Source organism: Homo sapiens, chromosome 9 (assembly GCF_000001405.40).
Source record: "Homo sapiens chromosome 9, GRCh38.p14 Primary Assembly".
Classification (NCBI taxonomy): Eukaryota; Metazoa; Chordata; class Mammalia; order Primates; family Hominidae; genus Homo; species Homo sapiens.
The window spans coordinates 136,934,993-136,948,358 of record NC_000009.12 but is presented as its reverse complement, the minus strand read 5'-3'; the positions used below and the strand labels follow the sequence as shown (position 1 = coordinate 136,948,358).

At 61.1% G+C, this 13,366-nt stretch overlaps 2 protein-coding genes across 8 annotated transcripts, besides 5 other annotated features; one reads left to right on the top strand and one right to left on the bottom strand.

Annotated features, from left to right (window-relative positions):
• On the bottom strand, window positions 1,384-3,116 carry C8G (complement C8 gamma chain). 2 transcript variants are annotated; one of them, NM_000606.3, is made up of 7 exons: window positions 2,901-3,116; window positions 2,589-2,725; window positions 2,360-2,430; window positions 2,167-2,274; window positions 1,793-1,894; window positions 1,670-1,708; window positions 1,384-1,591 (listed from the first exon to the last, which is right to left on the bottom strand). In NM_000606.3, the coding sequence occupies exons 1-7, from the start codon at window positions 3,036-3,038 to the stop codon at window positions 1,578-1,580; spliced, it is 609 nt and encodes a 202-aa protein (NP_000597.2). In that variant the 5' UTR covers window positions 3,039-3,116; the 3' UTR covers window positions 1,384-1,577. The 2 variants fall into 2 exon arrangements, with proteins under 2 accessions (NP_000597.2, XP_047279799.1); XM_047423843.1 differs by lacking the exons at window positions 1,384-1,591; window positions 1,670-1,708 and having other exon boundaries at window positions 1,830-1,922.
• Window positions 3,578-4,157: a silencer, noted in NCBI's record as "silent region_20561". NCBI's record gives its function as "represses an Ori minimal core promoter by ATAC-STARR-seq in GM12878 lymphoblastoid cells {active_cell/tissue: GM12878}" and the evidence as "EXISTENCE:reporter gene assay evidence [ECO:0000049][PMID:35858748]".
• FBXW5 (F-box and WD repeat domain containing 5) lies at window positions 3,621-7,924 on the top strand. Of its 6 annotated transcripts, none has more exons than XM_017014812.3 (9): window positions 3,621-3,765; window positions 4,253-4,468; window positions 4,853-5,010; window positions 5,416-5,590; window positions 5,664-5,812; window positions 5,893-6,259; window positions 6,675-6,822; window positions 6,896-7,108; window positions 7,188-7,924. In XM_017014812.3, exons 2-9 carry the CDS (start codon window positions 4,276-4,278, stop codon window positions 7,429-7,431), a joined length of 1,647 nt encoding a protein of 548 aa, XP_016870301.1. In that variant the 5' UTR covers window positions 3,621-3,765; window positions 4,253-4,275; the 3' UTR covers window positions 7,432-7,924. The 6 variants fall into 6 exon arrangements, with proteins under 6 accessions (XP_016870301.1, NP_061871.1, XP_011517091.1 ...); NM_018998.4 differs by having other exon boundaries at window positions 5,893-6,313; XM_011518789.2 differs by having other exon boundaries at window positions 5,386-5,590.
• Window positions 4,443-5,208: an enhancer, noted in NCBI's record as "H3K27ac-H3K4me1 hESC enhancer chr9:139837603-139838368 (GRCh37/hg19 assembly coordinates)". NCBI's record gives its function as "activates a minimal SCP1, AML or CMV promoter by ChIP-STARR-seq in naive H9 embryonic stem cells {active_cell/tissue: H9 hESC(naive)}" and the evidence as "EXISTENCE:reporter gene assay evidence [ECO:0000049][PMID:30033119]".
• Window positions 4,538-4,607: a silencer, noted in NCBI's record as "silent region_20560". NCBI's record gives its function as "represses an Ori minimal core promoter by ATAC-STARR-seq in GM12878 lymphoblastoid cells {active_cell/tissue: GM12878}" and the evidence as "EXISTENCE:reporter gene assay evidence [ECO:0000049][PMID:35858748]".
• Window positions 9,689-10,301: an enhancer, noted in NCBI's record as "H3K4me1 hESC enhancer chr9:139832510-139833122 (GRCh37/hg19 assembly coordinates)". NCBI's record gives its function as "activates a minimal SCP1, AML or CMV promoter by ChIP-STARR-seq in naive H9 embryonic stem cells {active_cell/tissue: H9 hESC(naive)}" and the evidence as "EXISTENCE:reporter gene assay evidence [ECO:0000049][PMID:30033119]".
• Window positions 10,302-10,915: an enhancer, noted in NCBI's record as "H3K4me1 hESC enhancer chr9:139831896-139832509 (GRCh37/hg19 assembly coordinates)". NCBI's record gives its function as "activates a minimal SCP1, AML or CMV promoter by ChIP-STARR-seq in naive H9 embryonic stem cells {active_cell/tissue: H9 hESC(naive)}" and the evidence as "EXISTENCE:reporter gene assay evidence [ECO:0000049][PMID:30033119]".

The following is a 13,366-nucleotide window of genomic DNA, read 5'->3' as shown; positions in this document are numbered from 1 at the left end:
ATGCCTTGTAATCCTTGCGCTGCACATCCTCTGGTCCCAGAGCACACAGCCAAGTGGCCACGCACTTCACTCAGTGCGGGAACCCACCCAGCCCTGCAGTCAGAGGCGTGGAGGGTCAGGCTGGGCCACTCTGCCACCAACCACAGCACCCAAGGTCATCGGGTGGGTCTCTGGCGCCACCCCTCGGACATTCAGCCCTCCCTGAAGCTTGTGACCGTGGCCAGCTACCCGACTCCTCCTGCCCCCAGATGAGACCCTCACTTTCTGTTTGGGGGATGTGGGGCCAGGCATGGAGGAGGCTTTCCTGGGGCTCAGGCCTAGAGTCTTCCCGGCGTTGCCAGCTCTGAACCCTGAGCCCTTCTGCTGCGCCCTGCTATCTCATGGGTCTCTGGGACATGGAGCTGGAGTGGGGGAAGGCGATGCAAGGGTACGACCTCCTGGGCCCTTCTCCTTCCCAGGTCCCGGCAGTCAGGGCCCCTGCCTCCCCTTCCCACCACCTGACTTGCCTGCCCTCCTGGGGTCTAGCAGCTTAGTGAACAGGTGGGCACGGCAGGGGGAGCCCCGCCCGTGGGATGGGGACCCCCCTGAAGCAGCTGCTGGCTCCTCCCTGCCCCCACCCAGGCCGTGTGCTTTGGGACCAACTCCAAGGTGCCTTCTCCTCCCATCCCTGCCCACTGTGGCCGATTGGTGGCTGATCCCTGGACTTGTAAGTTCCTAGGGGGAGGGACCAGCCCACCTGGTGGTCCCAGGGCCCAGCACACAGTGGGCCTTCAGAAATGCTTATCAAACAAATGCCAGTGGCCGCAGGCAGGGCCTGAGAGGAGCAGCTTAGCGGCCAGGTCCAGGCCCAGCATGGTCAAGCCATGCCGGGTTCCTGATTCTCCGGCCCTAGCCCAGGGGCTGCCCCGAGGGCAGAGCTGGCCCACCCCCACATTCTCTTCTGCTTCCTGGTTTCACGGGGGACGTGGGAGTGGATGAGGTGTGCAGAGAGTGCAGTGGCTGTGGGTGGACAGCACCAACTGCTGCCACCAACACGGGCCAGCTGGTGCCAGCTCGGCTCGGAAGAGGCCAAAATGGGCAGTGACGGGAGACAGCTGGCCTCCCACGGGGGCGGAAGAGCAGCCCGGGGGCTGCAGGACAATGGCCCAGGCAAGAGCAGCCTTGGAGTGAGGCTGGACGCCCCCAGGTCCCAGCAGGGCACAAGATGGGCATATGCCAGAGAGGATCTCCCCTCCCAAATCCCAAGAGCCGCTGAAATCGGCCCAGTGCCCACTGCGTGGACTCCAGCCAACAGGGAGCGCCGGGCTTTTAAAGAGGCGGGGTGGGGGCAGAGAGGGCCTTGGTGGTACTGGCGCCGGTCCAGAGTGGACAGAAGAGTCAGAGAGGGGTCTGAGACATTTAATAAGTAGGTACCACTCCACCCACTGTCCTCTGGGGCAGCCGGCAGAAGATCCCCTGCCCTGGGTGGCAGGGCCCTGATCTGAGGCTGGTTTCACGGAGGACAGGCAGCGGGCACCCCACTGGTGGGGTCGTCTCTCGGGGCACTGACTTCTCAGCACTGGAGCTGTGTGCCGGCCTCACCTCCTCACTTCTGCAGCAGAGACGAGACTCAGCCGGTGGCAGTGGCCCCCCTCACCACGCCGCCATGCTTGCCCCGCTGTGCACTCACCGTCCAGGACGTGGAACTGGTCTGCAGCCTCGCAGAAGCCTGGGGGCCCAAGGCAGGGGTCAGGCTGGACATCAGCCCAGAGAGTGGGGGTGGCTGAGCTGGGGACCTGCTGGGGACACTCACCGTACTTGGGGAAGTAGAAGATCTGGTCCTCAGTCAGGTGGGCCTCCTGGACCCGCTGCTCAAACCCACTCAGGACCGAGTCGCTCACAGGGAGCGAGCGGGCTGCAGGGCAGACAGGGTTCCTGGGGTCCTGGCACCAGGCGGCGTGGAGGGCTCTGGAAACGGGGTCTGTGTGTCCCCTGCCCCCTCGGGGCCCTCTCCCTGCTCCCACACCAGGCCTGTCTGTCACTACTCCCTGGGCCCCTGCTTAGCAGGAGGATCAGGATGGGAGAAAGGAAGTGTGTCCCCATGGGCTCACCCAGCCCCTCGGGGTGGCCCAGTGAGTGTGCAGAGCTTGAGCGCCTGCCTGGTCACAGAGGCTGGCCCCCACATACCGTAGAGCTTCACTGACAGCTGCCCCGCCCGCTCCAGGTACAGGACAGCGAAACTCTGGTAGTCGGTCTCAGCGACAACCACGTGCACAGCCCCTCGGGCGTCTCGGGCTGGGGCAGAGCCACAGTAGCCATGTCAGAGAGCCACAGTGGCTGCGTCATCCCCCACCCACATGCCCTGCAGCCCCTGCCTCACCTTGAAGCAGGAAGCGGCCGAGGACCCCTGTGTCTCCATAGAGCTGGCGCACCTGCCAGCAGATCCCATCCCTGGGGGGGCGGGGAGGAGGCACCACAGGCTGGGAGACCCCAACCAGGAATCCTAGTCCAGGCCACAGCCGGGGTGGGGTCAGGGGCCAGAGCAGGGCTGAAGTCCGGGGGCTGAGAGGAGGGTTGGGGTTAGGGTGCAGGGCTGCTCTGGGACTCACAGCTTTCGGAAGGTACTGACAGCCATGGCTGTGCCCTGGGGAGCCACATGCAGTGTGGTGGCCTCGGCCCGGTGGCCCTGCTCCTGCAGGAAACGGCAAGCGGAGCCCACAGCCACAAGGAGCCAGGTCCCTGCAAACTGGGGGCAGACCATGGGAGAACTCGAGGGCACTGTGGGAGGGCCCCTCACCTGCTTCCCTCTACACCCCCCACAACTTCACCTGCTTCCCTCTCCCCCGCAACAACTTCTACCTGTCTCCCTCTACCCCTCCCACAACTTCTACCTGCCTCCCTCTACCCCCCCCAACTTCTACCTGCTGAGCATCAAAATTGGCCTTGGGCTGGATGGTGCTGATGGGGGATGCGGGCCGGCGTGGCCTCTGAGGCTTCTGGCCCAGCGAGCCAGCTGCCAGGAGCAGAGTCAAGAGGGTCGCAGTCCCAGGGGGCAGCATGGTGGCGGCAGCAGGGTGGCAGGACTGTGGGAGGCCAAGGGTAGCACCACCAAGTCCCAGGACAGAGTCTACTCTGCTGTCACAGAGCCCAGCCCAGGAAGTCCATGTCCATCCGTTGCCTCCCCACCCCCCACCTCCAGCCTCCTCGTGAGCCTAGCTTCGATCTGCACTTCCTGGCAGGGCCCTGGCACCATGTCCTATGTACAAAGTCCGAGTTGACCTCTGGCTGTTTATCCATTTCTCCTGCACCCCTGATTTCCACCGACAGTCCTTAGCCCTTTACACGTTATCTTCCTTAAACCATCACCCAGTGGTCTTATCTCCATGGCCAACGTCACGGGGTTCATGAAGCCACTTGCTCAGGGCCCGGCAACAGGGAGCGCCGGAGGCGGGTCCCGAACCAGCGTTCGTTGAGCCTCGCCTGCAACCCCGCCCACGACCGCCGCCCGCTGGCCACAAGGGGCGCTGTTCCCAATGCGCCCGAGTGCGCGCAGGCGCACAAAGAAAAGCCGGCCAGGCCGCCGGAGCCCAAGGCGCAGGCGCACGAGGGGCGGATGCGGGCTACCCGCGCGCTCTGCCTTCCTCGGCCATCGATGCCTCGGGGCTCGTGGCGTCGGGCCTGGCGGGCTCCCCGTTGGGCGGGGGCGGCGGTCCGAGCGGCTGCGGCAGCGGAAGCGGGTCCGGGTCGCGCAGGGCGGGGGCGGCGCAGCGGGCGGAGGCGGCCGTGGTGAGTGCGCCTGCGGCCCTCGGGGGTCCCGCCTTGTCGTCCCCGCCCGCCTTGGGCGAGTGCAGGAGCCCCGAGGCCGCCCGTGCGCTCGTCCCCGCCGTCCGCCCCGAGCCCGCCGGGCAGAGCTGCTCCAGGGCCGCAGGGCGGAGGCCACTGCCTGGCCGCCCCGAGCTTCCTCTCGGCGGAAGCCCGTCCCCGGACGGCGCCTGGTGTCCCCGTGCCTCGCGTGCGGCGGTCCGGGCCCTGGCGGGCTGAGGGGCGCCCGCTGCCGGCCGCAGGAGGCCGGGGGATGACGCGGCGGAGAGGGGCCGGCCCGGCCCGCCCGGAGCTGCCGGGTCCTTGGTTGGGCGGCGGTACCCGGGCGTCCCCTGCAGACACGCAGCCCCGTGGAACTCCCGGCGGGACGGTTGGGGCTGGAGGAACAGGACGCCCGCTCTCGGCCTCCCTTCCCGGGCCTGGGCTGAGGGCAGCCGTTGGTGGGTTTCAGGGCCGCCTGGGCAGAATGTCACGATGGACGAGGGCGGCACGCCCCTGCTCCCCGACAGCCTGGTCTACCAGATCTTCCTGAGCCTGGGCCCGGCCGACGTGCTGGCCGCCGGGCTGGTGTGCCGCCAATGGCAGGCCGTGTCGCGGGACGAGTTCCTGTGGAGGGAGCAGTTCTACCGCTACTACCAGGTGGCCCGCGACGTGCCCCGACACCCAGGTCAGTGGCGTGTGGGGCCCCTACCCACGTTCTGCAGCCAGGGCCCCGGGCCCCTGCGCTTGGGGGTCAGCCTGGCTGGGGGCCCGCCCCGCGGCCCCGCGTGTCCATGCTCACCCCCCCACACCCTGATAGAGGCCTGTCAGGACACAGCGCAGGCGCCCCTCAGAGCTTGGAGGCCAGAGGGTTCATTGGGTCACTTGGGGGGTGGGGGGTACAGGGGTCTCTGTGAGCTACAGGGTTGAATCCCCCAGCCGAGGCCTATGCCATGACTAGTGGGTTCCAGGGGCACCACGGGGCCTGCCAGGACTGCTGGGGCCACACTCGGCTCATGGCCGTGACTGCGAGGAAGGCCCGGGCCCAGGACTGACAACTGCCCACCCGCAGCGGCCATGTCCTGGTACGAGGAGTTCCAGCGGCTGTATGACACGGTGCCCTGCGTGGAGGTGCAGACGCTGCGGGAACACACAGACCAGGTCCTGCACCTCAGCTTCTCCCATTCCGGGTACCAGTTCGCGTCCTGCTCCAAGGACTGCACTGTGAAGGTGAGGACGGCCAGGTGTCCTGCACACCCCACCCAGCTCTGCCGCAGCACGGAGGTCCCAGGACCCAGGCGTTCCAACCAGGTGGTGGTGGGGGGGGGGGTGGGTCAGGCCAGAGGTGACAGCAGCCTCCCTGCATCCAGCGGAGGGACCACAGAGGATCAGGAGCGGTGCAGGGTGGCCCTGAGTGCTGAGGAGAGGGTCCCACACACAGCCGCCTGCTTCAGGGGCAGGCTCCTCCGCTCTATACCAATGCCCCCCGAGTGGATGACAGTGGCTGGAAGGGGTCCCTGCTCCCTGGTGGCCTCTGAGTAGGGCTGGCAGAGCTGGGGCCTCATGGCTGTGTAGTAGCAGGCCCCCGCCCCGCGACCTGGCCAGGCGATCACTACAGCCGCCCCTGCCGAACAGATCTGGAGCAACGACCTGACCATCTCGCTGCTGCACAGCGCGGACATGCGGCCCTACAACTGGAGCTACACCCAGTTCTCCCAGTTCAACAAGGACGACTCGCTACTGCTGGCCTCGGGGGTGTTCCTGGGGCCGCACAACTCCTCATCCGGCGAGATTGCTGTCATCAGCCTAGGTGAGCACGGGCGGCGGGTTGACCCTGCCCCCGCCCCACGCCGACAGCCTGTCCAGCCCCGGCCTCCCCACAGACTCCTTCGCGCTGCTGTCCCGCGTGCGGAACAAGCCCTATGACGTGTTTGGCTGTTGGCTCACCGAGACCAGCCTCATCTCGGGGAACCTGCACCGCATCGGAGATATCACCTCCTGCTCGGTGCTGTGGCTCAACAATGCCTTCCAGGTGCGTGCGGGGCTAGGGGCGGGGCTGCCCTCCTGGGGCCTGGCGCCCGGCGCCCACCTGGCACGTGCCCCCGCCCCCAGGATGTGGAGTCAGAGAACGTCAACGTGGTGAAGCGGCTGTTCAAGATCCAGAACCTCAATGCCAGCACCGTCCGCACGGTGATGGTGGCCGACTGCAGCCGCTTCGACAGCCCTGACCTGCTGCTGGAAGCCGGTGACCCGGCCACGTCCCCCTGCCGCATCTTTGACCTGGGCAGCGACAACGAGGAGGTGGTGGCTGGCCCGGCCCCCGCCCACGCCAAGGAGGGCTTGCGGCACTTTCTGGACCGCGTGCTGGAGGGGCGGGCGCAGCCACAGCTGTCGGAGCGCATGCTAGAGACCAAGGTGGCCGAGCTGCTGGCCCAGGGCCACACCAAGCCACCCGAGCGCAGTGCCACAGGCGCCAAGAGCAAGTACCTCATCTTCACCACTGGCTGCCTCACCTACTCCCCACACCAGATCGGTACACCCCTGCCGCCATGCTGCCCGCCTCGGTCCTAGGAGCTTGGGGGAGGCCGGGCAGGGGTCCTGAGGGGCAGACAGCAAGCAAGTCCACAGGCAAAGCTGGGATCGTTCACTCGCCCCTGGGGTCACAAGCCCAGACCTGGGGCCTGTGGGATGAGCAGTGAAAACAAACGCAGGCAGGGCCGCTGGCCAGCAAGCAACCGACGGGCCTGATTCAGGTCTGGGGCCCCCGGAGCAGGCAGTGCCCACGGACCTCTGTGGTGCTCACAGCCCCAGAGACACCACTGAGGTAGGAAGCTGCCCTGGAGTGATGTCCTTGGGGCATTGGACAGGGACCCTCACCGTAGCCCTCCCTGCAGGCATCAAGCAGATCCTGCCACACCAGATGACCACGGCAGGGCCCGTGCTGGGTGAGGGCCGGGGCTCCGATGCCTTCTTCGACGCGCTGGACCACGTCATAGACATACACGGACACATCATCGGCATGGGCCTGTCGCCCGACAACAGGTGGGCCTCTTGCCAGTGTCCCAGGCGGGGTGCCCGCAGGCGGCCCACACCTAGCACAGTGCCCCTCGCCCAGGTACCTGTACGTGAACAGCCGCGCCTGGCCCAACGGTGCGGTGGTGGCCGACCCCATGCAGCCGCCACCAATCGCGGAGGAGATTGACCTGCTGGTGTTCGACCTCAAGACCATGCGGGAGGTGAGGCGGGCTCTGCGTGCGCACCGCGCCTACACGCCCAACGACGAGTGCTTCTTCATCTTCCTGGACGTCAGCAGGGACTTCGTGGCCAGGTGCAGGGCGCGGCGTGGTGCAGGGCGGGTGTGGGCAGCAGCGGGCGGGCGGCCGGCTCACCCAGGCGCTGTTCTGCAGCGGGGCGGAGGACCGGCACGGCTACATCTGGGACCGCCACTACAACATCTGTCTGGCCAGGCTGCGGCACGAGGATGTGGTCAACTCAGTGGTCTTCAGTCCCCAGGAGCAGGAGCTGCTGCTCACGGCCAGCGACGACGCCACCATCAAAGCCTGGCGCTCCCCACGCACCATGCGCGTCCTCCAGGCACCTCGCCCACGGCCTCGCACCTTCTTCTCCTGGCTTGCCAGCCAGAGGCGCTGAGGTGTGCTGGGTGCACTGGAGCCACCGGGACCCCTTGAGGACATCGCCAGGCTCTGTGGCTTTTTCCCGAGCGGGAGAGGTGGAGATGCTTATAGCAGTTACGCCTTAGGAAGGGGACAACCAGGCCCCGCCACACGCTCACACACAAACCTGCTCACGCAGCTGTGATGCTTGGCACGGGGTGGCCAGTGCAGATGGAGCCCAAGGCCCCCTCGGCCTCCTGGGCAACTTGGGGTACACAGGATACTGGGGGTGCCGCTCCTCACTCAACCCCAGGCTAGGGGTACACCTGACCCAGCTGGCCTCGGCCCGGGGCACCTTCGGCTGGTCCTGTGGGGCCCTGGACGGTGGCCCAGTGGTGGCAGGGGCTGCTCCTGGCTGTGGTTGTGCGCCCGGGGCTTGGGAGCGGCCGGTCACGCTGCTGTGGGCCCGAGTGTGTTGCATGTCCACGCACCACCCGTTCAGGGCCCTGAATAAACAGTTGGCAACAGCACATTGTTGTCCAGTCTCTGTCTGCAGGGAGGGAGACTGTGGGCACTGCTGGCACAGTGGAGTGGACCTCATGGTCACTGCTGACGGGTGACGCTGTTATTGCTGGCACAGTGGTCCTACTGGAGTGAATGTTGCAGTCACTGCTGACAGGTGACATGTGCGTCTGAGGTCATGTGCTGGTGCCAGACTTTGTCACACTGCCCTGTCCTCCATGACCTCCAGGGAGATGCCTGGCACATGTGCCGGGGCTGGCAGCATGCAGGGCCTGCCGTCTGGGTCCAGGGTCAGTAGGCCACGTCACTCCCAGTGCCAGGGCAGCCCCCCCAGTCAGTCCCGTCCTTGAGGGAGTTCCTCAGCTGCTGGGTCCAGAGTCGGCAGGCTGCGTCGCTCCCAGTGCCAGGGCAGCCCCCACAGTCAGTCCCATCCTTAAGGGAGTTCCTCGGCTGCTGGGTCCAGAGTTGGCAGGCTGCGTCACTCCCAGTGCCAGGGCGGCCCCCCACAGTCCCGTCCTTGAGGGAGTCCCTCGGCTGCTGGGTCCAGAGTCGGCAGGCCGTGTCGCTCCCAGTGCCAGGGCGGTCTCCACAGTCAGTTCAGGCCGGCGAGGATGGGACCAGGGGCCCAGAAGTGGGAGCAGAGGTGGAGCTCCAGCTGGACCCCACAGGCTTTGTTGGAACTGCACCGGGAGCTCGGGGGCCCGGGGCGATGGTGGTGACAAGGAAGATGGCAGGAGTAGAGCCTGGCACTCGGGTCAGCTGCCCATTATAGGAAGCACACAGAGCTTGTGGCTCCAAACATGGCAGCAAGCAACCCCGTACAGAGAAAGGACGCAGAGGAGACGAGTGAGTGTCGAGGTGATGGTTCCCCTGAGCCACGTGGGCCGCAGGTAGAGACCCTGGGGCTGAGCTCGAGCACCGACGGGATCAGGGACAGCACCACCGAGAGAGGCTGCGCCACCCAGAGGGACGGAGCCTCTGCCCTGCCAACTCCTGGTCTCCAGCTGGGAAGCCCTGGGGACCACTGCAGTTCATAATAAAACCCCCAACGTGGGCGAGAACAAGGAAAGGAAGGAAGACACACCAAAGACCCCCAGACAAGATAAGCTGCCCTGAGACTAACACCCTCAGAAGGGAGCTGACAGATTCTGTAAATGCAAGCACACCACGGGCAGGCTCCAAAGAATTGAGCAATTTCCTGAAAAGGACTTACCTACGTTCACATTCAAGGAGACTAACAAAAACATTCCTATGCACCATAAAACAAAAGTGGGGACAGAAATCAAGAGGACTTGGACATTTCAAAATAAAAAGGGAGCCAATTAGACACTGGAAAATGACAGGGCGAGTGACTGCATCAAAAGCTTGATACGTAGGCCGGGCGCGGTGGCTCACGCCTGTAATCCCAGTACTTTGGGAGGCCGAGGTGGGCAGATCACGAGGTCAGATCGAGGCCATCCTGGCTAACAAGGTGAAACCCTGTCTCTACTAAAAATACAAAAAATTAGCCGGGCGCGGTGGCGGACGCCTGTAGTCTCAGCTACTCGAGAGACTGAGGTAGGAGAATGGCGTGAACCTGGGAGGCGGAGCTTGCAGTGAGCCGAGATTGCACCACTGCACTCCAGCCTGGGCGACAGAACAAGACTCTGTCTCAAAAAAGGAAAAGAAAAAAAAAAAAATCTTGATATGTGGAAAGTGCTGGACCAGACAGACTCGACGAGAGGACCAGGCAGCAGAAGATGGCACAGAGGAGACGAAAGAAACACAGCCCTGGGAGGGGAATGGAGCGGCATGCATGCCCCCACCCCATCTACGGGGCAGGGGTGGAGACCCAGTGTTTAAAGAGAAAGTGACTGAATTAGCAAAAGAACAGAAGTCCTCAGAAAACATATGCTGAGGTCAGGCCGGGCGTGGTGGTTCATGCCTGTAATCCTAGCACTTTGGGAGGCCGAGGCGGATCACTTGAGGTCAGGAGATCAAGACCAGCCTGGCCAACACGGTGAAACCCCTTTTGTACTTAAAAAAAAAAAAAAAAAAAATTAGCCGAGCGTGGTGGCACACACCTCTAATCCCAGCTACTCAGGGGACTGAGGCAGGAGAATTCATTGAACCCGGGAATGAGCTGAGATTGCGCCACTGCACTCCAGCCTGGGCGACAGAGTGAACTCTGTGAAACTGCAGCTATGAAACTTGTGCACGGGGCCTGGAGCAGCTGCCAGAGAGCTGGGTCAGGGAGCAGCAGCAAGATCCCAAGTTTCGCAGAACTGGTGCTTGACCTAACATCCATGACCTGAACTCCACGCAGCCGCAACACCGGACGTGAGTGCTGGGGCCAGGCAGAAAGCCCAGAGCAGCCCTAAGGGCCAGGGAAAGGAACCCACGCCGATGCGCAGGGTCAGTGAGGCAATGCCCTGGGTTTACCCTCTTCTCCATTCTTTTGTGACCCTGATGGCAGTGGGAGTGGTGGCTACAGGAACCCATCAGAGCCAAACTTGGGGCCAGAAAGTCCCTCACAGCTCAGTGCGGCTGTATTGAGGGTGGGACCACCCCCATTAGCTTTCCTCCCCTGTCCTCCTGCCACATAGACTCCAACGCGGCCCAGTCAAGGGCATGTCACTGTCTGAACTGACAGTGAGTGAGCCCAGCAACCAAACCCAGCGTGGGGAGCTTGGGAAGCACCCACATGGGGTGGCTGTGGATGCCGGGCTCAGCTCACATGCAGACACATGGGTCTAATGATCACACCATGGACGTGGGGAACTGCAGACCAGCCTTGGGTCCCAGACCAAAGACCAGCAGCTCTGAAGACAGGAGTCCACGCAGGTGGGAGCAGTGTGGGCCCAACCCTCACAGGACCAAGTGCCTGCTAACCAAAGACACCCACGCAGGTGGGAGCAGTGTGGGCCTGACCATCCCAGGACCAAGTGCCTGCTAACCAAAGATACTCATGCGGGCAGGAACAATGTGGGCCCAACCTTCACAGGACCAAGTGCCTGCTAACCAGACTTCAACATTTCCCACAGGATTCAAACATGACCCAGATCTCATAAAGTCATATTCAAAATGTCTAGAATATAGCCCAAAATTGCTTGACACACGAAGAACCACAACATTTCAACTTGCAGCTGGGCACCGCGGCTCACACCTGAAACCCTAGTTCCCTGGGAGGCCACGGCTGCAGGGAGCAATCACCGGGCCGCTGCACTCCAGCCTGGGTGACAGAGACCCTGTTTCTAAAAAATAAAAATAAAAAATAAAAGATTCAATGTGCAAAGGTAAAGACCCATAAATTCTATTTCCCAAAAACAATTAGTAGCTTTTTTAAAAAACCACACAACAAATTTTTATTATTTTTTAATTTTTGTAGAAATGAGGTCTATGTTGCCCAGGCTGGTCTCAAACTCCTGGGCTCAAGTAATCTTCCAGCCTCGGCCTCCAGAAGTGCTGGGATTACAGGCGTGAGCCACCGCACCGGCCAACACAATTCTTAAAAGGCACTGGGATTCCTCTGCTTCAAGATCATTACTAGGCTAGAAAAATAAAGCTTGTTCTACCAGAAATCACAAGTAAGAACTGAGTGTTCTCCAAGGCAGAAATTGTAGAGTCTAGTGCCATTTCAGGCAACGATGACTAAGCTCTGAACCCCAACATCCACAGCTGCCCATCAGAACACTTAAACCAGCTCGGAACAGACCAGCACAATTCGGCTTCATCAGACAAGGCCACCGTGCTCTTCTAAGATGCTAATAACCCCAAACAGGAGGTGCTGAAACCAAATGAAAGACAGTCTTTGAGGCTAGCTGCCACACCAACTGTGAGTTCCTTGTTATGTCCCCCTTCTATAACATTAATCAAGGAAATATTTTACTGCAAAGAGTATTTTATATGCCACTAGCCATGAATTTTTGTCATTAGTTACTACATAAATGTCACCTAGTGCCTGCCATTATCCACATGGCACAACCATTTTATGTCTACAATTCACTTCTGTATTTACAAACAGAATCTTTGTGATTCCCATAAGTACATTAGCAAAGGTTTAACATCGAGATGCAATCTAACATCCATAACCTCCATTGTTTTGCAGACAGCAATGTAGGAGAGAGAGATTTTTTTTTTTTTTTTTTTTTTTTGAGACAGAGTCTTGCTCTGTCGCCCAGGCTGGAGTGCAGTGGCGCGATCTCAGCTCACTGCAGGCTCTGCCTACCAGGTTCATGCCATTCTCCTGCCCCAGCCTCCCGAGTAGCTGGGACTACAGGCGCCCGCCACCATGCCCGGCTAATTTTTTTGTATTATTTTAGTGGAGACGGGGTTTCACTGTGTTGGCCAGGATGGTCTCGATCTCCTGACCTCGTGATCCGCCCGCCTCGGCCTCCCAAAGTGCTGGGATTCCAGGCATGAGCCACCATGCCCGGCTGAGGATTGTGTTCTTTAAAACAGTTTTATTTGGATTTACAAAATCTGAACACCTTACAATCATTGCAGATGAACATTATGCCATGGCCCCAGGTAGATGCACCCTGAACAAAAACTCACACTTCCCGATATGCAGGGGGAACCTGCAAGTCCTCACCAACCAAACGCCAGGCTTGGGAGGAAGTGACACAGACACAGATGCTGAAATTATCTGACAAGGGCTTTAAAGTAGCTACTATAAATATGCCAGAGCAAGCAATCACAAACATTTTGCAATGGATGTAAAAATATGAAAGTCTCAGCAAAAAAATAGAAGATGTAAAAAGGACCATTCATACCAAGATTAGGTATCTATAAAAAGAGAAGGAAAAAGGCTGGGCACGGTGGCTTACGCCTGTAACCCTAACATTTTGGGAGGCCAAGGCGGGCAGATCACCTGAGGTCAGGAGTTCAAGACCAGCCTGGCCAACATGGTAAAATCCCGTCTCTACTAAAAATACAAAAAAAAAAAGGCCGTGTGCGGTGGCTCACGCTTGTTAATCCCAGCACTTTGGGAGGCCGAGGTGGGCAGATCACAAGGTCAGGAGGATCGAGACCAAGTTCCAGCTACTCGGGAGGCTGAGGCAGAATGGCGTGAACCCAGGAGGCGGAGCTTGCAGTGAGCCGAGATCGCGCCACTGCACTCCAGCCTGGGCGACAGAGCAAGACTCCATCTCAAAAAAAAAAAAAAAAAAAAAGACAGGTTCTCACTCTGTTGCCCAGCCTTGAGTCACCAGTACAGTCATGACTTACTGCAGCTTCGACCTTCAGGCTCAAGTGATCCTCCCACCTCAGCCTCTCAAGTAGCTGGGACCACAGGCATGCACCACCACACCCAGCTAATTTTTATATTTTTTGTAGAGATGGGGTTTTGCCATGTTGTCCAGGCTGGTTTTGAACTCCTAGGCTGAAGTGATCCGCCTGCCTCGGCTTCCGTAAGTGCTGGGATTACGGCGTGAGCCACCATACTGGGCTGCAGCCTCTTTTTAAGGGCA

Coding starts and splice junctions, on each gene's coding strand:
- C8G (NM_000606.3), bottom strand. CDS start 3,038: ATGCTGCCCCCTGGGACTGCGACCCTCTTGACTCTGCTCCTGGCAGCT. Junction 2,431..2,588: donor GTCAGTACCTTCCGAAAGCT/GTGAGTCCCAGA, acceptor CCGCCCCCCCAG/GGATGGGATCTGCTGGCAGG. Junction 2,275..2,359: donor CGGCCGCTTCCTGCTTCAAG/GTGAGGCAGGGG, acceptor GCTCTGCCCCAG/CCCGAGACGCCCGAGGGGCT.
- FBXW5 (XM_005266089.3), top strand. CDS start 4,276: ATGGACGAGGGCGGCACGCCCCTGCTCCCCGACAGCCTGGTCTACCAG. Junction 5,591..5,663: donor GATTGCTGTCATCAGCCTAG/GTGAGCACGGGC, acceptor GCCTCCCCACAG/ACTCCTTCGCGCTGCTGTCC. Junction 7,109..7,187: donor AGCAGGGACTTCGTGGCCAG/GTGCAGGGCGCG, acceptor GCTGTTCTGCAG/CGGGGCGGAGGACCGGCACG.